The 21,903-nt window shown below is 55.6% G+C and overlaps 1 protein-coding gene across 4 annotated transcripts in view, besides 2 other annotated features; it reads right to left on the minus strand.

Annotated features, from left to right (window-relative positions):
- ADAMTS2 (ADAM metallopeptidase with thrombospondin type 1 motif 2) overlaps positions 1 to 21,903 on the minus strand; it is a 234,609-nt gene that overhangs the window by 40,819 nt on the left and 171,887 nt on the right. For all 4 annotated transcript variants that reach the window (NM_014244.5, XM_047417895.1, XM_047417896.1 and 1 more), the window contains 5 exons: positions 7,052 to 7,208; positions 3,143 to 3,248; positions 2,378 to 2,521; positions 1,820 to 1,952; positions 471 to 584 (listed from right to left, as the gene is read on the minus strand). In NM_014244.5, the coding sequence (NP_055059.2) occupies positions 471 to 584; positions 1,820 to 1,952; positions 2,378 to 2,521; positions 3,143 to 3,248; positions 7,052 to 7,208 (654 nt within the window). The remainder of the gene's footprint in view (positions 1 to 470; positions 585 to 1,819; positions 1,953 to 2,377; positions 2,522 to 3,142; positions 3,249 to 7,051; positions 7,209 to 21,903) is intronic.
- Positions 15,417 to 15,918: an enhancer, noted in NCBI's record as "H3K4me1 hESC enhancer chr5:178594089-178594590 (GRCh37/hg19 assembly coordinates)". NCBI's record gives its function as "activates a minimal SCP1, AML or CMV promoter by ChIP-STARR-seq in primed H9 embryonic stem cells {active_cell/tissue: H9 hESC(primed)}" and the evidence as "EXISTENCE:reporter gene assay evidence [ECO:0000049][PMID:30033119]".
- Positions 15,532 to 15,741: a silencer, noted in NCBI's record as "silent region_16728". NCBI's record gives its function as "represses an Ori minimal core promoter by ATAC-STARR-seq in GM12878 lymphoblastoid cells {active_cell/tissue: GM12878}" and the evidence as "EXISTENCE:reporter gene assay evidence [ECO:0000049][PMID:35858748]".

The raw sequence follows: 21,903 nt of genomic DNA on the forward strand, positions 1-21,903 counted from the left end.
CACCAGAGGGTGGGAAGTGGGCCTGGGGCAGCCATCAAGGGACCTCGAAGGACAGTGTGCCCAACAAGGGACAAACACTGAGGTCCTGGGGATGGAAAGGTTAAGCCTCATGCTGGGCCCGAGGACTCCAATGCTGGCCTCCAGGTGAGGTGACCCACAGTGCCCAGGGGTGACCGAAGGCTGCCAGGACCCCAGAAATTGCTCCTTAAAGGGGGATTCCTGAGTGGGGGGCATGAAGCACCATGAGGAACTCTCAGATGCCAGGTGTGCTCCAGCATCAGAAGCACAGGGTGGAGGCAGCTCCGGCGTACAGCGTGTGAGGGGTAATTAGAAGGGGGAAAGGAGAGGGCAGCAGAGGTCCCCTGAGAGGGCCCCCACCCCCACTTCAGGGCCTGTCCCTGGTGACCCGGGCACCTAAGATTCCTGTCCTCTGCCCTGCTGCCCTCCAAGAGCCCTTGATGCTGCCTCACCTTGCCAGGTGCACACATAGTCCCGTCCAAGGGGGGCCCCTTCTTGGTCTTGCAAAAGTAGGGGTTGTCAGGATGGCTGCACCACAGCTGCTTGCAGGGGTCAAAGGTCCGGAACTGGAAGACAGCACCATAGCTTGCCAGGTCCCTCCCACCTCAGGGACCTCCCAGGGATGCCACCCACCCCCGGGTTCTGGAACCTGAGATGCCCCAGTGGGACTGGCCCATGATGGGCCCGTGAGGCTGGTGGGTGTTGTGATTCTGGGGTGGTGAAGACCTTGCCCATACGGTGTGGAGGCTGCAGCATCCCTGGACGCGGCTGGGCCTCTCTGCCTCCAGTCTTTGGAGGCTGCACACCTCAGGGAGCCTGGCGGGCAGCTGGGCCCTAAGTGCCAGCCTGAGGCTAGGTGGGCACCTGCTGACCCTTTGCCGTGGATTTCCCTCCTAAACCCTGGCGAAGCCCTACCCCCACCCCCACAGGCCTGCCCTCTCTGCAGCCTCGGCCTCCCCTGGACTTCACAGTCCTGTTCCCTGGCCTTTCTGCTTCCTGTCCTGATAGCACTTCCTGCAGGACGTCCCTGAGGGATCAGCTGAAACTCAGACGTGGCCCTGAGCCTCCCCTACTCAAGCCTTTCCAGAGCCCCCATCGCCATGAGAATCGAGTCCACTGTGCTCCTTAGGGAGTCTTGGAAGGAGGTGGCCCTCCTGCGTTGGTACTCGACTCTACCACTTGCTCGCTTTGTGGGCTCAGGCAGGTTACCTAGCCTCTCCGGGTCTCTGTTTCCTCATCTGTAAAATGGGACTACTTTGCTTCTTTCCTTCATGCAGCAGAGGCGAGCATTAAGACGCTCATAGACACTGAAGCTCCCACAGTGTGGCCTCCATGCCGATGGCCGGTTCCTCTGACGGCTCAGCCCTGGCACTTGGCCCTGGAGAGCAGCGAGTGCTCCTGTGCCTGCCGCGCTCTCCTCCAGGCCTCTGCGTCCGTGGCCTCTGCGTCCGTGGCCCTCCCTTCCTGAATGCCCTCTCCTTCCGCTTAGCCTGCAGGCCTCCCTTCTTCCTTGGGAGCCCTCCTGACCTCTGCAGGCTCTCACTGCCCCTGGCTGACACCCTGGTCACAGTCCTGTCCCCCGTGTGCTTCCTGCCTAGGACCACGTCTGGGCCTGCCAGGTGGGCTCAGGGTGCCTAGGGGGTGGGGAGTGGTGGGTGCAGAGGGACAGGCTGCCACTCTGGAGGGCCGCTCTGCCCTCCCCACACTGGGCCGGTCCTCACACTGTCCCGGGAGCTGCCCCTACACCAGCACGCCTCCCCCCAGACCTGGGAGGGTCCCGGCTGCAGGGCTGCACACTCACCGCCGTGCACATCATGTAGCCCAGGCCGAAGTCAAAGCGGCATTGCTCGTTCATGGAGTAGTGCAGTCCCGGGAGCTGGGGCAGCGCCGGCCAGTCGTGGGCGAAGGGGTCATCCAGCAGGCAGTCATAGGAGCTGTGGGGGACACACGGTGCCGCGAGCAGCCTTCAGCGCGGCTGACCATCCACAGCCCTGGAGGCAGCTGAGGCCCCTGCTGGAGCTGCCATGGCAGCCCTACCTGCACATCCCGGCCCCTGGCTGTGCTGCCTCAGTTTCCCTGCTGCATCTCTTGTCCTTGGTGTAAGACACCAGGACCTGGCTTGAGCGGACCCCAGGGTAGCCGCCGTGCCCACTTGCCATTCAAGGACAGACCCCTGACAATGGGTTCTCCTCCAGACACCAGGCTTCTCTCACAGGTGTGCCCTCTCTCCTCCCCCGCACACAAGCTTAGAGGACCTGAGGTCGGAGGGCTCTGGCTCTGGTGCATGGGGACTTGCACCCTCCCAGAGCTGACCCCAGGGACTGAGGGGTCGCCCACGGGGCACATGGGCAGTACTCACTGCAGGTAGCGGCTCAGCTCCTGCTGGCTGCAGCGGGACCAGTGGAAGCGGTGGAAGGCGGCCTGCACCAGGGGCGCCATGATGCTGCCCAGCCGCACCTCGTCGCCACAGCGGTTGCCCTGCCCGTCGTGCTCCATGCCCAGCCTGCGAGGGCCGAGGCAGCTGGCTGAATCCCACTGGCACACGGGTCTGCCAGTCCCACCCCACCCCGATGATAGGAGGGTGCCCCATCTTTCCCCAACGGGCCTCCTGACCTTGGCCCACTCTGAGCCGGGTGGCACCGACCATCTACCTGCTGCAATTTGAAAGCCGAGGCACTCTGGGGAGACAGTGTCCAGCGGGCAGTCCCCCAGGTATCCTGTCCCCAGGAGGGGCATGCACACCTGGGGGGGACCGTGGCTTCCCTGCCTCCAGGTTTCTAACCCAGGGCGAGCCACCCTCCAAACCTCCGAGCCTCCTCTATAACATGGGGTAGAGCCCACCCTGCCTGGGGGCTTGGATGTGATAATGGGGCAAGGTCCCCAGCTCTAGCTGGCCCAGAGCGCCTGCTCAGTCTGCAGGCAAGCCCTTCCTCCTTCAATTGGTTCCTTCAGCAAAAGTGGGCCTCGGGCCAGCACTGCCCAGCGCTGGGAAGACAGGAGACCACACCCCAAGTGGCTTTGACACAGGGCGTGTCCCTCTTAAGGCACAGAGGAGAAGTGGGCAGCCAGGGCTGGGGATCCTAGGGTGGCCCCTCTGTGCCCCACCCTTCCCCAGGCCACTTACACGTGGCCAGTCTCATGGGCCACCACAAACGCTGAGGAGAAGCCGTCCTCATGGTTCAGGGTGCAGCTGCGGACCGGATGGCACATGCCGGTGACAGGAGCATAGCCTGGGAGGAGACAAGAGGCGGCTCCAGATGCTGCCATAGCCTGGCCGGGAAGGTGAGGCCTGGCCTAACTCCCAGGCGCTGCTTCTCCTCAAGGCCCCAATGCCCTCTCTACCACAGGCAACTGCCCCCGGCTGGCACAGCTCAGAAGACACCACAGCAGACAGCTCATAGCCTGTGACATCTGGCTGACAGCAGGCCCCCAGCCCGTCACCACACAAGCCCCGTGGCCGTTCTGCCTGTAACAGCCACACTGCAGCTGGGGCCCTCTGCTTAGTCAGATGTCACCTGCTATGGCTTGTCTGACACCTGACTTTCCTGCCTGCCGTTCTCTTTCACGCCACCTGCCTCTGCCCCCTGCCTGCCTCACTGAGTGGCCCCTGAGCAGCACCTGCTTCCACACCTCTCTCTGCTAGAGGCATCCTGCCCCTCGTCTGCCTGGTATCACACCCTCCAAGCCCACCTCCTCTGGGGGGCGTTTCTTGGGTCTCCCCGTGTTTCTCTGGGGTCCTTGAGACCCTAGCTAGACCTGTTTCCATAATGCCGCAGAAGGCTGCAAAGCTGTTCAGCCGATGGGCCACACTACCCTGCAGAATATCCCAGCAGGGGGCTGGCTGGTGCGGACTGGGAGGTCAGAGCCGCCGTAGAAGATGAGGCCAGTGGCCTACGACAGCCCAGGGCCAGGGGGAGGGTGGCAGAAGTTCATGACGCAGAGACCCCACGTCAAACTGAGGAAGATGGATAATGAGACCTATTCACTTCCCCAGCTCCTGTCTCAGCAGAGGGAGGCGGCTTGGAAAGATAGGGAAGTGCCTACAGGGCTATGGGTGCCACACGAGGTCTCTGCTTGTACCCCTGGGAGTCTTCCTAGAGGCCTGCCAAGCATGGAGCCCTGACTTTCAGAACCCCAACCTGCCCTCACTCCTGCCATGCCCCACTGAGAGACCCTGAGGCCACGCGTTCCACAGAGAAGGGAAGGAGGGCCACTGGGACCCCGGGTGAGCTGGCGGTGTACGCGCCTAAAAATAGAAGCATCGTGATCTAACCCTTGTCTTTTCCCGTTGTAATAAACAGGAAAATCTGCATTTTTTGCTCTGCAGATTTTGAGACGAGCGTGGAGTCTGTGTGCCTGAGTGGAACGTTGCCATCTCCTCTTTGCCCTTTGTATGCCAGGCTTGCAGATGCATCTGCCTCCGTGGGAGGCTTTCCATTCATCCTACTCAGCATTACAGGAGCCTGCGAGATCTGAAAGCGCATCTTTATGTTTTTCTTTGTTTTCTTCCCTCTTATTTTACTTTGTGGCTGTTTTCTCTCTCCGGAATCTTATTAGATAGAGTGTGCCTCCTCGATGGAGGGTCTGTCTCCTAACTTTTCTCTCATGTTAATCTTTTTGTCTTTTGCTCCCATTGGGAGATGGCCTTGACTTTTTATTTCAGCTTTCGATTTTTTTTTTTTTTTTTTGAGATGGAGTCTCACTCTGCCGTCCAGGCTGGAGTGCAGTGGTGTGATCTCGGCTCACTGCAACCTCCGCCTCCTGGGTTCAGTCCATTCTACTGCCTCAGCCTCCTGAGTAGCTGGGACTACAGGCACCCGCCACCATGCTCAGCTAATTTTTGTATTTTTACTAGAGACGGGATTTCACCATGTTAGCCAGGATGGTCTCCATCTCCTGACCTCGTGACCTGCCCGCCTCGGCCTCCCACAGTGCTGGGATTACAGGCGTGAGCCACCGCGCCCCGTCTACCTTTCGAATTTTTTACTTCCCCCATCCTATCCATAATTTTATACAAATGGTTTGTTGTTCTCTAATTTTTCATAGAAAACTCTTAGGGTTTATGGATGTATTTTCTCAAACATTCTGGGAATACTACTTTTAAAAACATGCTTTTCTTGTCTCTAAATTATCTCTATTTTCTCTTAGAGCCAGTTTTCAAACTTTTTGTTTTGTTTTACATCTTGGTCCATCTTTTTCATGCTGTAAGGATTTCTTGTGTTTTGGTTTTTTTAAAATATCTGGTAACCCTTGGCTGTCCTTTCATTTTTTCTTTTTTTTTTTTTTTTTTTTGAGACAGAGTCTTGCTCTGTTGCCCAGGCTGGAGTGCAGTGGCACAATCTCGGCTCACTGCAACCTCTGCCTCCGGGGTTCTAGTGATTTTCCTGCCTCAGCCTCCTGAGTAGCTGGGATTACAGGCACCTGCCACTACACTGGCTAATTTTTGTGTTTTTAGTAGAGATGTTGGCCAGGCTGGTCACGAACTCCTGACCTCAAGTGATCCGCCCGCCTTGGCCTCCCAAAGTGCTGGGATTACAGGAGTGAGCCACCACACCCAGCCAATTTCACATTTTTAAATGAGGGATCAGGTCACTTAATATAAAAGCTGTGTCGGTTTCCCCTCCTAGGGGATAGCTCTGCTCCCCATTAGTGCCCTCCCCAAGACAAAACAGCCAACAGCACTCTCATCACATGGTCAGGGCAACACCTGGCTGCGCTGTGTTTGAGGGGAGCTATCCACTCCTCACCCAGACATGGTAGTTTCAGTCTTTTTAACCTAGCTATGCTATTAGGTGCGTCTTGATATTTCATTGTGTTTTTAAATTTTCCTTTTTTTTTTTTCTTGTAAGACAAGGCCTCGCTCTGTCACCCAGGCTGGAGTGCAGTGGTGTGATCATAGCTCACTTCCTGGGCTCAAACAATCCTCCCACCTCAGGTTCCCGAGTGGCTGGGACTACAGGCATCCACCACCATGCCCAGCCTCATTGTTTTAATTGCATTTTTCCAATGTCTAGTGAGGTTGAGTGCCTTTTCATATGTTTATTGCTCATTCATATTTTGTCAAGAGCCTGATAAGAGTCTCCTGCCCATTATCTGACTGGATTGTCTTTATTATCCTTATTATGATTTGTAGGCGTTCTTCACATACTTCAGATATAAATCCTTTTTTATAAATATTTCCCCCAGTGGATTAGCGTGCCTTTAATGCACAAACTTTTGAAATGTGCTACTATTTATCAGTTTTTTCCATTGAGTTCATGGTTTGTTTGGTTTTTTTTGTCTCTTTTTTTTTTGAGACAGAGTCTCGCACTGTCTCCCAGGCTGGAGCAAAGTGGTGCGATCTCGACTCATTGCAAACTCCGCCTCCCGGGTTCACACCATTCTCCTGCCTCAGCCTCCCGGGTAGCTGGGACTACAGGCGCCCGCCACCATGCCCTGCTAATTTTTTTGTATTTTTATTAGAGACGGGGTTTCACCATGTTAGCCAAGATGGTCTCGATCTCCTGACCTCGTGATCTACCTGCCTCCGACTCCCAAAGTGCTGGGATTACAGGTGTGAACCACCGCGCCCGGCCTTTTGTCTCTTTTTAAAGAAAACATCTCTTACTCCAAGAACATGGAGCCATCCACCTACGTTATCTTCTTTCATTATTTTGCGTTTCTTATTTAGACCTAAAATCCATGTGAGATGCTCTCTGTCTATAGAGTGAGTGGAGGTGACAGGCCTCCTTTCTTTCCAAATTGGCCCCACACCATTTGTTAGGCTGTTTTCCTCCTCTTCTCTGAAATGTCACTTTTGTGACACATTAGCGTCCCTATACACATAGGTCCAATTCAGGACACTGGATTCTCTTCTAATGATGTATTTGTCCATCAGTGCACTGCCCCACACCCTCACCCAGCTAAGGTGGCCACGGCCTTCCCTGCCCTGACACTCTTCCCTGGGCTGGGCCAAGGCTCCCGGGGCCCCTTGCATGGCCAGGGGCTCATTTCCAGCTTCACGCCTCTGTGGCCCTGCATGGGTGAGGCTCACCTTGCATGCCGGAAGGCCCAAAGTCCTGCCGTGTGAGGAAGATGGCGTGATCGTGGTATTCATCGTGGCCCGTGTCTGGCTTCTGCTGGAGGTAGGCCCAGCGGCAGACATTCTCCAGGCTCTGAGAGGGGTTCCCGATCTCGATGAGGCTCATGGACTGCAGGGGGATGGAGAGAAATGGAAGAGAGAGGTTGGCGCCTGGTGGCCCAGTGGGGGGCCGAGCAGGCTGTAGTGTTGACAGACCCCATCCACTGGGAATCTGTTCCAGGTGGTACAAAGGCCCTGCCCGGTCACTCTCAGGACCTGCTCCCACTGGGCTCCAGTCTTTGACAGGGAAGAAAAGTTTCCCCAGTCACACTCACCTGCGTGAGTTTCCACACAAAGTCACCGCAGTTTTCAGGTGAGATGCAGAAGCCAAGCTCTACGTCATCTAAGGCCTCGCATAGTCCCACCGTCTACCCCATTTCCAGAAGTCCCTGTGTTTGTTCTATGAGGCACCTGTTCCGTGCAAGGCCTCCACAGAAGGCAAATGTCATGTGGACCTCACCCCAAAGAGCTCACAGTTTTGGGAGGGTCCGTGGCAGGGGAGGCGGAAATTCCAGTGTGGTGTGCAAGGCCAGAGGAAGCAGATCACCTTATACGTTCCCCCCGTGTGAAGGTACTTGCAGAAACCAACACAATGGAGGAAAAGAAACAGCAACTGACATATTTGGTGGGTGCAAAAGTAATCGCAGTATTGCCATGAAAAGTAATGGCAAAGACTTTGGCATCAACCTAATAGAAAAACAGCCATATCAAGAACAAGGGCATACACAGATGATTCCCACAGGAACTATGCATGGGAAGCCCCCGGGAACCATCCCATTCCATTTTGTATCATGACGCACACCTGACAGCTAGGGTGGCCTCGGGACCGCTCGTCTTGCACACTCTCTCTGCACCATGACATCAGCAGGCACTCCCATTTAGACTTCAGGACTAAGAAGCCTGTCTTGGACAGGAAACTGAGACTCAGAGAAGTTAAGAAGCTTGCCCAGGTCATGAAACTAGGAAGTAGGAGAATTGAGATCGGATCCCAAGAAGGCTGAAACCAAAATCTAGATTCAACTCACTGCCCTAAACTTCCTCCTTAAATAAGACATACACAATATCATTTCAAAAGCAAGGCTTCTGTGAGCGGCACCCTTCCTTTTTTCCTCCACAATCCTCACAGCAGGCATTTTGGTTTCTGTTCTCACCATAGACTCCAAACACCGAAGTAGTTCCCTCCAAGAGAACCGAGAGCCCCTCTGAGTCCTGGGCATGTTCTTTTCCCCTTTAAGGATTTATCTGGCCATAAAATAGAGATGTGCATTCCTTGGAAGCTACGTATGCAGGTGTTTTTTCTCTTGCATAAATGTATCCACAAAGTAGAGCCACGTATTTCTCTTTGTGTCTATAAATAACAAAAAGTTGGCCGTGCGCGGTGGCTCACACCTGTAATCCCAGCACTTTGGGAGGCTGAGGCAGGTGGATCACCTGAGGTCAGGAGTTTGAGACCAGCCTGGCCAACATGGTGAAACCCTGTCTCTACTAAAAATGCAAAACTTAGTCTGGCTTGGTGGCGTAATCCCAGCAACCTGGGAGGCTGAGGAAGGAGAATCGCTTGAACCCGGGAGGTGGAGGTTGCAGTGAGCTGAGATCACGCCACTGCACTCCAGCCTAGGCGACAGAGTGAGACTCCGTCTCAAAACAAAACAAAACAAACAACAAAGGGTATTGTTAGCAAGCCAGTTAGTTCCAGAAGAAGGGAGCACAATTCAAGGCTAGGTAAGACAAGTCGTTCCCAGGGGTCCCAGTCAATGACTGACAAGATGGCAGACCAATTCCCAAGTCCCAAGCACAGAGTTAATTGTAAAGACTTTATTTCCTGCTCCTGGGAGATAAGATAACTCATTCTAACAAGGTTTCCATGAGTCCCGATGAAATAAGTCATAAATCAGAGTGTGATGTCCTGTGACTAAGACTTGTGGGACATTGGCATAGAAGTGGACAGACCAGAGGAAGCTGGAGGAGGGCAAGGGGAGGTGCACTTCCTGTTCCCATCATGACCAGGAAGAGCATGTGACTAGCTCTGGCCAATGAGCTGTGAGCAAAAGTGGGGCATGTCTCTTTTCGGTTGGAGCATCTAATTTCCCATTGAGACCCTTCAGAGAGCTCTCCTTTCTGGCACGAGATCTGGCAACATAAAGACAGTGGCTGCTCTGTCACCTAGGACCTGAGTGACGATGAGACCCGAATCCTCCGCCAACCCACATTGAACATACAGCGTGAGCAGGAAATCTTGGTCGTTTTAAGCCACTGGGATGCAAAGTGTGTTTGTTTCTGTAGCATAACCTCACCTACTATAATTGATACAGGAGGAAGGGAGTGGGTATCTGCATCACATCCAAGCCTGACCCCTGCAGCTCATCTCGAGTCCCTGCCAGGTAGTATCCGCCTCTGGGTAGCCTTGAGAGGTCACAGTTCTGAAGGAGGAATCGGGCGAAAGAATGTCCCTTCTCACTGTCTCCAGCTAGGGGGTGAGCTTGGGATGGCACAAGAAGGAAGGGAAACTCGGGGTGGATGTGATTCGGTGCTAGAGCGTGGGCCTTGTGGTTGGTTGTACTCGCTGAACTTAAGATTGGCAGCCCAGATATGGATGAGCCTGGGGGACCTTATGCTAAATGAAATAAGCCAGGCTCAGAAAGACAAATACTGCACGCTCTCACTCATACGTGGAAGCTAAAACAGTTGATGTCACAGAAATAGAGAGTAGTTCCTGGAGAGTGGGGGGCAGCGGGCTGGGGATTGCCAAGGCTGGTTAACATATCCAAAAGTGCGGCAAGATGGGGGAATAAGCGTTAGTGCCCTATAGTGCCGGAAAGCGCCTGGAATCCGTAAGAATGTATTGTGCATTTTCAAATAGCTAGAAGAGTGGACTTTGAATGTTCCCAACACAAAGAAATGATAATGTTTGAGGTGACAGATATGCTAATTACCCTGATGTAATCATTACACATTGCATACACGTGTCTAAATATCACACCCTACCCCAGAAATATGTACAATTATTACATGCCAATTAAAAATAACAGTAAGAGCAAAATCAAAAACCAAACAAGAATGACTTTTTAACATACATTTTTTAAAAATTGCCAGTCCAAATCCAAATCAGAGGGTCAGCACAAAGGTCACTAATAAGCGCTTTTGCTAGGGTGGTGGCAGGGCCCCTGCTGCAGTGTGAGTGTCTCCATCCAGGACACCCAGCACAGCTCGGTAGCCTTGCTGGGCTCCAGGGAAAGGGGCCTTGCTTCCTCCAGGGCACGTCTCCCAGCATCAGTGTCAAGGGAGTCCTGTCCAAGATGAACTCACCTGCCCTCAGGGTCCTAAGCCCCATGTAGTGGGACGGTCCCTTCCGATGCCCTGGTGGGTTGCGGTGACTTCTGCCTGCCCTTGTTTCCCTTTCGTGAAACTTCCCCTCCTTTAATCTGAGTCAGACCCCAGGCTTCAGGGGCAGGCAGGCCTGGCCAATCCCAGCACCACGCCTTCCTGGCCACCATGAAGGATCAGGGTGAACATACAACCAAAGCGGGCCAAGGAGTAGGCAAGGTGTGAGGTGGGGGGCCTGCAGCGGCTGGAGCCCCCCTGCACTACAGGAGACCCCCCACCAAGGATTAAAGGAGGATGAGACCACTGTCGAGCTAAGACTGGGGCTGCAGTCTCATCTGAAGGCTGTACCGGAGGCGGGTCAGCTCCCAGGCTCATTCAGGTGGTCACGGCGGGCCCCAGCTGAGCTGTTGCACACCATACCGTATGGGCCCCTCCTGGGGCCGTCACCCATGTCAGCTTTACCCCACACGGTCGCCCCTGCTCGAGGGACCCAAGAGACAACAAGAGAAGGCACCTCCCCTACAGAAGCCACAGTCTGCTTTTGATAGAATCTCAGTCCCGCCTACCGCAGGGCATGGACATTAAGAGACTGGGTCACTGGCGGCCATCACGAAGGCTGCCTGCCACTGACGGGTGTCATTTATGCCTGAAGAAGTTCCTCTCCTTGTGAAAGCCAATTCTGAGTTGTGCTCTTGTCACTTGCAGCGAAGAGAATCTGAGCCACGTGCTTCCTCCTTTGGGGGACCACAGGGACCCCAGTCAGGACACTCGCTGGCCCATGAAAGATGGCGTCTGATCTGGGGGCAGCTGATATGTTCTGGGGGCAGTTTATATGCTTCTCAGTGGGAGAAGGGCCCTGGCCAAGTCTTTGAGGAGGAGTCAAGAGTCCAGCCAGAAAGACATGCCCCAATATCAGGACCAGAGGCAGGAATGAGGCTAGTGTGTAGGACAGAGCTGCGGGAGGAGCCAGGCTGAGGCAGGCTGGGGGTGTGCAGGGAGGTCCGCTATCCTAGTGTGTGGGCTTGTGGGGAGTACCGGGAGGATGCTAGAAACCCAAGCGCCTACAGGAGCAAGGCAGGTGACAAGTCAATGAGGCAGGCTGGTTGCACGAAAAGTAAGTCCATCTTGTGTTTTCCCAGTTTTGAAGGAGAAAGGGTACAGAGGAATATTTCCCTATTAGAATAGAGTGGGGGTCGGTGATAAGGAGTGGCGAGGACTGTGGCAAACCCAGGTGCCCAGGCACAGCTGAAGGGAGCAACATCCGCCCAGTGCTGGCAGGAACAGAGGCCCAGAGCTGCTGGATCAGATTTCTCAGGTCAATCGTGAAATCTGGATTCTACAGACACCTACCTAATAGTAAACACTGGCTCAAATTGAAATCAGTTATGCAGACAAAACAACGCATCCTCCCCGTCACCACTTTATTCCAGAACCCTGGAATAAGAGCCCTGCAGTGGGCAGCCCCTTCTCCACGTCCTGCAGACTGGATCCACTCTGGCCGATCACCTCTCTCCTCCCAGATGCTGGCTTCTGTGGTTCAGCCTGGGTTCCCAGCCCGTCTTAGCAGCCAAAGTGATCTTGCTGCTGCGGCAAGACAATTTATTGAAATATTGATTTGTGTTTTTGTTCTTGCCTCGCTTTGTTCTCGGCCCAGTCCAAGAAGGCAGCCTGCCACTTTCGTTCTCCAACCCCAAGGAGGTTGTGCTGCAGGGTCCAGAGCTAAAGGGGTCTATGACCCCCTTCTGGCTTTGGGGTTCTGAGGAGACTCCCTGAGGAGGGGGCAGAGGGGAGGGCTGGGGTGCATGGGCACAGGGAGGGGAAGCTGCACTGGGGCCAGGGGAGCCCTGGGAGGCAGGACTTCAGGAGACATGAGAGTGTGCTAGACCCTGGGAGCCTGGGTCCCAGCAGGGGGTACCCCAAGAAGTAGAGGAGAGGGTTACCTCAGTGTCCGGGCACCCCAGGACTCAACCTGCCACTGGGAGCTTAACTGACAAGCCACAGAGCTGCTTGTGCTTCCTCTCTCTCTCTGCCAACGTCCCAACATCTCCAAGGTCCCAGCCTATCTCTGACGGGCACAGAGGAGCCCAGGGGCAGAGATCTTGTCCTTGCTGGGTCTGGAGCATTCAAGGGCTATGGGGTACCCATGAGGCCCAGACATTGACCTTGTGCCCAGAGGCCAGGGCAAGGTCTGTGTGCATTCTTAAAACAGCCCTTTGGGTCAGTGAGGAAGGAGTGGGGATAGAAGGGGACAGTGTGGCACTGAGATGCATGCAGGTGTGGCTGGTGCCACGTCAGGAGGGTCAGGACCTGGTGGCAGGAGCTGAGAGGCATCAGGGCTGCAGGGCGGGAGCAATGAGGCAGAGACGGCACCAGTGTCTGGCTTTGGGGATTGGTAGCAAGGCAGAAGAGGCGGCGCGGGAAGGGGACGGCAAGTGCCAGAGGAAGAGCGTGGGGTCCGCAGTGCAGGAAACATGGTCACGGCAATGTCTTTCCTGGCCAGCTTGCTCGTTGGGAAGAGCTGGGCTGTTTTGCTTTGGGAGCTCTCCCACTTCTGGGGGTGCAGCCCTTGTGGGTGATCAGTCCCAAGCCGTAGCTGGGACCCATGTTAGGCCCATGGAGCACAGGTTCGAAAGGACTGAAAACTGGCTGAAGTGGGTTTGCCTGGTGGCAGCACCCAAAACAACCATCCGCAAACTCAGGCTCATGCACCCCAGAGCCCCCTTTCCTCCACCCACTCCTCCCACTCCATGAGAGCTACAGGCAGCCTTGGGTTCTGCATGCCTCTAAGGACTCCTCACAGAAAGAAACTGATGTCCAGGCAGAGACATCGGGGCAGCTGGACAGGTCTGCGGCCCAGGAGGGAAGTCTGGGCTGGCCGTGGACAGGGCAAGGCCCTCGCTACTGGAGGCAGTCGGAACCCAAGGGAAGAGCCAAGCTCAGGTCTCTCCGCTGAGACCTCCAGCCAAGGATACTGTCCTGACATGCAGTGAACTCCCCTGTGGGTCACTTGGGCTCCAGCGGGACCACCTGCTGGGATGCGACCTCCTTTGCTCCTCTGCCACCTGGCCTGCATGCAGGAGGCCAGATGGGTCCCTGCTGCCTGGGGCACCCCAGCCCCCACCATCCTGTGCCCTTGCTATGTATCAAGCCTGGGAACTGTGCTTCCCCTGAGCGAGAAGAAGACACATTTCTCATATATGGATCTCCTCCAGAAGTGAGGGAGGCTGCACTGCTTGTTTCCACTGAGGAGTCTTTCACCAGCTCGCCCTGGTCATCTACGTCCCTCCCAGTCCTGAATGCACCTGACTTCCAGCTGCCTGCTCGGCTCTGCACGGCTCCTCTAGGAAAGTCTGTCTGTGTGACTCCACCTGTTCCTAGCTGTGCTGAGGGGGGGACCAGGAGTGAGCCGTAGCACCCTGGGCTCTGCAAAGGGGGTGGCTGCAGGACCAGCCAGGGACTTTACAGGGCAGCCAGTCCCTCCCAGGGGCAGCCGCGGGCACCCAGCCTCCAGAGCAGGGGGCGGTAGATGGTGCTGTATGACCGGGGATGGACATTTCGAGGCCCTGGGGCTGCATGGTAGCTGCAGGGTCCACCTCCTGAGTGAGGCAGGGCCTCTGAGGGCAGACTCTTCACAGCGGCAGCAGCTCCCAGAACTCCCAGGTCCAGCCTAGGGCCCCAGAAGAGCCAGGCGGGAGAAGCCTGCAGTAGGGCTGTGGATGAAGTCCAGGGGCCCATCCAGCCCAGGATGCAGGAGGAGTCCTGAGTGGGCTGACCCTAGCTCAGAGCACGGGAACAGATGAGCTTCCAAGAGGCTGATCGGATCCTCTACAGGGGCCCCAGGACAGTCGTCACCCCTCATGGAGGGCTCTGCCACCCCTGTTTGGAGGTGACATCGACCACTGCAGACATGGGCTCCCAACTGGGCTCCACTGCCCGAGTGCTCTGGGGCCCTGGACCAGGCTGGCTCTTCCAGAGTGCAGGGTCCTCCTTGGCCATCATGAGTGCCCACCTATGTCCACATGGAGACCCTCCTTGCTATGCTGGTTCACAGAGCTGCCCAGATGCAGGAGGCAGACACTCGTCCAGGCCCCTGGGGCCCTCCCACAGCAGCACCGGGAGCCTGGTCCCAAGAAGGATGGTGTTTCCTCCGGGTTCAGCCTGTTTGGCTCCCCTGGCCCGGGCTGGAAAGGGTCTGAGGACATGCCTGAAAGACCCAGGGATCCCACCATGAGGTGGAGAGGGCAGATCTGAGGGCCTTAGGGAGGCAAGAGCTTGATGGCCCTCACCTTGGGTCAGAAGGTCACTTTGCTGAATGCTCCCCAGGGCTGTCAGGAGGCTTGGCCAGGGCAAGGGTGAGGAAACACTGCGGGCCCCTGAACCTCAGGCCCAGCCTGCAGGGGTCTGGGTAACCCCACGGGCCTCAGGGAACAGCCAGGAGCTTAGGGGGCCCGTGGGCCTTGGGTGGACGAGTAGGCTGCGTCCAGCTCCAAGTCCCAGCCCCATCCTGGCCGCGGGACCCTGGCTCTGAGCTGCCCGCCGGGTCCCTCCTCCTGCGTGCGATCGGTCACCTGCCAGATGGGGCACCTACTGGGGATGTGCCTGTTGCTGTCGCTGGCCTCTGAGTCACTAAAGCCTAAGCTCCTTGAGGGCCGGGTGGTTGCTGGGCCCGAGTCTGTGCCCCAGCCCTGGCCCACGCCTGCCCTCAGTAGCCCCACTCCTCCCTTCACGGAGCAATCCCGGCTTCTGCTCTCCATGCCAGGATGAGGCAGCGAACGCGGCCAGAGGACCCCGGCTGCTGGGCGCTCAGTGATGAAGGAATGAACACGAGCACCCTCAGGAGCCAGGCTGGGCAGGGAGGGAGGCGCCGGCTGCGGGGACGTTCTCGGGAGGCCTGGGGAAGTGAGCCCAAAGGGCCGCCCCGGCAGATGCTGACCCCAGCAGGAAGTCACCGTCCGCAAGGAGCGCCCCGCTAGGCTCAGGCTTGGCACACGACACCTCGCTTCCACTTCATTTTCCTACCTTCCGGATGACGAACTGCGTCTCAGACAACTGAAAGGACTCGCCTGAGTCCCACAGCCGGAAAGAGGTCGGGGTGCTGCCCCCCGCGCGGGGCGGGCAGAGGAAGGGCCGGGCCCGAGCGGCCACCAGGTGGCGCTGCTGCCGCGAGAACAGCGGCCCGGGCCGGGGACGCACCCGGCGCCCAGACTCCGCGGCCGCACCCGGGCTCCCGGGGCCCCAGCGGCCCCAAGACAGCCTCTGGGCCTCACCCTAAATACATCAATTATGACCTGAGCAAAAAGTTCTGTTCCAATCGTTGCTCTCCGACATTTCCATTGTTTGCTCTGGAAGGAGCTGAATTATCTATGCTCTTCCCTCCTTCAGTCAAGGAGACGTGGGAGGAAACCGGGATGGGGATCAGCAGCCTGGAGGCCGCCTCCGCTGGAACCGCGCCCGCCCCGCCAGGAGGCTCTGCCTGCTGGGCAAGGCGCACTCAGCCAGCCCCGCAGGCCGCCACGCGACCGAGGCTCACCAAGTCCACTGCAGGTGGCAGGTGAGGTCACCTGGGCAGCTCTAGGCCCGGCCGAAATATCTCATCTGCTCTGTTCTTGGGCAAGTTACCTTACTTGTCCCCACCTGCAAAATGGGCACAACTGCAGCTCCGAGCTTGGAGCTGGGGGGCTTCCGCCCATGACAGTTCAGGCAGGGTGCAGTCAGCGCCCACAAATGTCCCTTGTCCTTGTCTCTGCCGTGCTGTTGATACTGATGGAGTATAACACCAGTCCCTGGGGACTGGCCTACCCGCTGGGGCTGGCTCATGCCCCCAAGGGGATGCGGCTTCAGCAAAGCTTCTCAACCGTCCCCATCCCAGAGGGGCCCTCCTGCCTCAGACCAGCCTCCTAAACAGGTGCAGGATAGGACAGCAGGGAGGTTGGGTTCTGGTGAGCAGACCACATTTCTCAACCTCAGCACTCCAGATATTTGGGGCCAGATAATTCCTGTTGGGTGAGGCGGGCACCCTGTTCATGGCAGGATGTTGAGCACACCCCTGGGCACTCCTTGCCAGAACCCAGTGGAACCCTCCCCCTAGTCGTGACAACCAAAAGTCTCTCCAGACACTGCCAAATGTCCCCCGGGTGGGGGGAGGGGTGGCAAAGTCACTCTTGGTTGGGAGCAACTGACCCTCAGGGGACCAGGACAAGGAGCCTGAAGCTGGTGCTCCTGACCAGCCGGGATCACAGAGTCCAGCCCCTCCTCCCAGAGCAGAGTGGCTCCACCAGCGTGTGGCCCCGGGCAGGCCGCTCGCCCCCTGGAGCCAGGGTCCTCACTGTCAAATGGGGATGATCACAGCGCCTACTCCACAGGGTTGCTGTGGGGGTGAGGGCATAAAGTCACATAAAGGGCTTCAGACGGTGCCTGTCCCAGAAGAAGCTCTACAAACAGTCACTTGCACGAACGCCTTTATGATTGTCGTCATTCCTGTTGTGTGCTGGGGTTTCACAGACCTCCTCTTATGGGGGAAACTAAGGCCCCATGATGTTAAATTGCTCACCAAAGGTCCCACGAGTATGGACAAAGCCAGAATGAATGGCAGGGACAAGGTCCCACCATCCCTGCTCTGTGAGCACATGTTCTACCGTGCCCCCCAGCTGAGTGCAAAGTGGGCTCCCCCAAGGCTGGAGGTCTCTTGTTCCAGGCAGGGCTTACAGATCAAATCTCATCACGACAGAGAACCACGAGAGCTGGGGCAGGAGGCGTGCACCTCATTTCTCTGCCAGAACTCCCATATCGTTCCAGCATTTTGTTTCCAGCCATCTTCCCCAAAGCCTGGGAAGCTATTCCCAGAGAGAGCCAAGCTGCCAGAACAGGATTCTCAACTTGAGCCTTCCCAGGCATGAGCCAGTGCAGGCCTGTGGGGAGGCAGAAGAGGGGCCTCCTGCTAGAATCTGAATGTTGTGTCCCCCACATTTGAAAGGTTGAAAGCTGAGAACCAATGTTATGGTATTAGGAAGTGTGGTCTTTGAGAGGTCATTAGGTCATGAGGGTGGAGTCTCCATAAATGAGATTAGCACCCTTACAAAAGAAGCCTGAGGGAGCCTGTTCACCCTTCCATCATGCGAGGGCACAGCTAGAAGGTGCCCTCTAGGAGGAATGGGTCCTTACGACACATCAGTTCTGCTGGCGTCCTGCTCTTGGACTTCCCAGCCCCCAGAACAGTGAGTAACACAATTCCATTGGTTATAAATTACTCAGTCTAAGGTATTTCTGTTATTGCAGCCCAAACAGACTAAGGCACCTCCCAAGGGCAGTGTCCAGCCTTAGTGCCTCCTAGTTCTCTGGACCCAGGTAGGTCTGGGTGAGGAGGTGGATGGAGGATGATGTGGGTGGGCCATCATGCCTTGCACCCCTATCAGGTTGGGGGTTGGGACCCAGATGCTCAGGAGGACAGGGGGCTGTCCCTGGGGTGAGGCATGGGGTGTGTTTCCCACCTCATCCCCTGTCCCAGATCCCCAGGGCCCTTGATATATCCTCCCCAGACCTTCACTTCCTGGCCTTCCTGCACCATGGCTGGGCCACTCTAAATCCTCTACCCTATAGGTGGGTGGGTGGGCACACCAAGCCCCCACCCCCAGCACCTCTCTTCTCGTGCTTTCCACTAAGAGACTCACATGCAGAATTTCTCAGACCTTTCACCTCCAATGCTGAAAAATTCCAGCAAGCATTCCACACTTTGTCTTGACCTGGTTTTTTATAACAAGACACTTTATGTCCTTCTCTGATGCTCCCCAAGTCTCTGATTTCCATTTGCTTTGATTTTCATCATCCTAGGAAATATTTAAAATGAGAACAGTTGAGTAGCTTTGGTACCTTCTCAAAAAATCAATTGAAAAGCCAGTTGCTATGCAACCTCAAGTGTTGCCGATGCTCTGCTCCCTGGCTGGTGGTATATTGTATAAAATAAGATCATCTCTTTTCTTCTGCTTTTTTTTAAGAAATGGAGAAAAATGTTGTTTTAGGAAAAACTTGAGATAACTCAGAGGCTTCTCATAAGCTAGAAGACAAACATGTCACTCAAACAAGTGCTACCAATTTTATCCCCACTGGAGCCTGGTGAGGCCTGGGGGACAGGCAATGGGGGAGCGGCAGGTGGGGAGCTGGTCTATTTCTGTCACAATTTGGGATGAATAACAGGAACCGAGTATCTGGGCCACTTTCTGCCCAAGTCTGGGTCATGGTCTCACATCCCCCAGAGTCTGTCCCCACCGTGGGGGGGACAGCTCAGCCCCCTCCTGACTGCCATCGCCTTGGTTTTGCCATGCTAAAATTCTTCTAGAGACGGGGGCCTCATTCCTTGACGGGAAGCCTGTGGTTCCTTGAAGAGCAGCTCATCAGAATTCATCCCCACCATGTGCCAAACTTTGTCCCCAGAGCCCCATCGAGAATCCCTGGCTGTGCTTCTCTGTGAGCAAAAGGGGTCTGTTCCCTTGGACACAGGAGCTAGGCCTTTTGCCCCCAGATCTTGGCTGGGAAGTCCCCATCCTGGCTGCTCCATCCATGGTCCCCTATTGCCTGCCACCCTGCTGTATTCCTTGCCGGTGCTCACCACTCTGTCGCTGTCTTGTCTGCTGCTACTGCCTGGACACAGGGCTCCTCTCCCCTCCTCGTTCATGCACCTCCCTGGGATTAAACAGCAGCTGCTCGGGAAGCCAGAGGCTCTGGGCTGGCCGGATGCTTTGGGGGCACAAGGATACATCTCCTCCCACGTTCATCAGACACCTCAGAGACCTGAAAACAGGGCCTCCCCCAGTGCTATGCAAAGTGAAGTCTGTGCCTGGTGGACACAAACTGTTCCAGTCCACAGTGAGATAAGTACAGAAACTAGAAACTTTTATAGCAATTGGACGGGTTGAGTTTATGTCCACAGAATTTAATAATAAAAATCCAGACCTAGAGTTTTTGGATACCTCGGTTTTTGTCACATTTGCTTTTCCCAGTAATTCATTTATAACGTATGGTACGGAAGTATTGGTCTGTGATGGGTTTGAAATAGGAAAAAGAAAACAGCCAGGTCTTTGGCATTGAGGTGCACTGTGTACTGCTGCTCCCAGGATGGCCTCTCCCCTGGCCACCTGGGGATGGCAGATGGCTCCTCCGGTCCCACAGACGCTGCTCCCAAGCCCTGTGGCCCACAGCACATTCGCTAAGTCAGCCAGGGCCCATGACCAGAACCCATTTTCCTAGCCGCTGTGCCCTCTACCCCAAGCCTTCAGCCCAGCCCCTAGCAGTGCCACCTCCTCTGCTCTACTATTTCCTGCACTTTTGCAGTAGGTCCAACCTAAAGCAACGAGGACTCATAGCCTCGGCTCACTTCCCCTCTCACAGCCCAGAACCCCCCAGAGAAGGGCACAGCAGCGGGCAGGCCCGGCTCTTCTGGCAGTCTACACTCAGCTGATCAACTCAGGAGATCCCCGGGATGGAGCGGACCCCATGGGCACTGGCGTCCCCTACCCCCATCACTGCCTCCTGTGCTTGATCTGGGAGGCTTCTAGGAGGAAGGCGGGGTAGGGCCAGGCAGAAAAAGGTGGGCAGAGTATGGGGTGAGCTTTGCTGAGCCCCACTCTGGGCAGGCATGAGTTAGGAGCAGAAAAAAAGGCCCAGAATGCTGGAATGTTCCAGAACATTCCAGGAGGCCAATCATCCCTGAATTCCCGGGGTCTGACAGAGGGACCGGCTGTGTGTTGTCCTCCAAGCTAGGCTGAGGGGCCTGGGAACAGGCACTGGGGTGTCCTGGGTCCCACACCCCTCACAACCCAGCACTGCCTCTCCCCTGCCTCCTCAGCTGCGGGTCCACTGAGCCCTCGGGGCCGGGGGTAAGCTGGTTCCATCTGGAGTTAGCTCTGGAAGCGTGCGTCCAGCTTCCGGTTCTGTCTTCCAATCCCTCACCACCATCAGTTCTCAAGCCCCTTCCCAGCAGGAGGCGGAAGCAAGGCCAGCCTCAGTTCACCTATGTCCTCTCTGTTCTCTTTGTACCTGGGTCGCAGAAGTTGCCCGGTGCCCACCACAGGCATGAGCTGCCCTGGTTTGCTGGCTATGGATCTCAGCACCCCCAGGGCCTGCACATGTCCCCATGTTGTCCCTGGGAAGAGCAGGCTGCACCTGACAACCGGTCCCCTGCCCACTGCCCCATTCCCAACTCTGCCAAAAGTGGAAGTGGGGCCCCAGCATGGCCCCAGTGAAGCAGAGCTTCTGCAGGTGCATGAGGGGTGGGGGTCCCAGCAAAGCAGAACTTCTGCAGGCAAGGCGCATGAGGGGCAGGGGCCAAGGAGGCCCTGGCCAGGAGGGTGGTGCCTGCTAACCCAGGGGCGTGGGCTTCTCATGCAGGGGAGACCACGTACCTATGGCAGCCTGCGTCCTCACTCCAAGATTTCCCATTTCCTTCAGGTGGACCCGCTGCAGGTGGACCCCCTGCCCCAGCCACAGGAAGCGTGAGCTAGCGCCCATAGGGTGGAACACAGAAACCTCATTACTCCTCCCCAGCCCACTGCAGAGATGACGTGCCAAGGGAAAGCATGAATTCTCTTTGATGTCTTCATTGAAATCAGAAATAAAGGACTGAGCGTGACAGAGCCCTGTGGCATGCCACCGGAGACCTTTCTCCAGAGTGCTGAATTCAGTCAAACGGCATCATTTGGATCCTACCATTTTTAAATGATTTTTTAAAAAATCATTTAAAAAATTTAAATTTCACAAATTTAAAATGCAGTGTTTTGTTTATAAAAGAAACATGCTGGTCCAGGCTCAGCTGCTCACACCTGTAATCCCAGTGCTATGGGAGGCAGAGGCAGGAGAATCATTTGAGCCTGGGAGTTCAAGACCAGCCTGGGCAACAGAGTGAGACCCTGTCTCTACAAAAAAAAAAAGAAAAAAAAATTAGTCGAGTGTGGTGGTGCGTGCCTGTAGTCCAAGCTACTTGGGAGGCCGAGATGAGAGGATCCCTTGAGCCCAAGAGATGGAGGCTGCAGTGAGTTATGATCACACCACTCCACTCTAGTCTGGGCAACAGAGCTAGACCCCATCTCTTAATAATAATAATAATAATAATAATAATAATAATAAAAACCATGCTCATCATATTGAATTTAAAAAATTCAGTAAAGTACAAAGAAGAAAATGAAAATTAATTAGCCTACTGCCCACAGAGAAATCCTGTTCACATTTGATGTGTTCCTTCCAGTCTTTTTGGTAAATATATTTGTACACCAAATTGAGATCATACGGAAAACTGAGATCCTGCTTTTCAAACAACAAACAGCTTTAGACTGTAACCATTTCCCAATGCCATTAAACATGTTTCGAAAATGCAATTTTGTGGCAGCCTAATACTCTACCACATAGGTTTATCATTACTTAACTAGACCACTATTATTGGACAATATAGGTTG

The sequence above is a fragment of the Homo sapiens genome, chromosome 5 (genome assembly GCF_000001405.40).
Source record: "Homo sapiens chromosome 5, GRCh38.p14 Primary Assembly".
In the NCBI taxonomy this organism is placed as follows: Eukaryota; Metazoa; Chordata; class Mammalia; order Primates; family Hominidae; genus Homo; species Homo sapiens.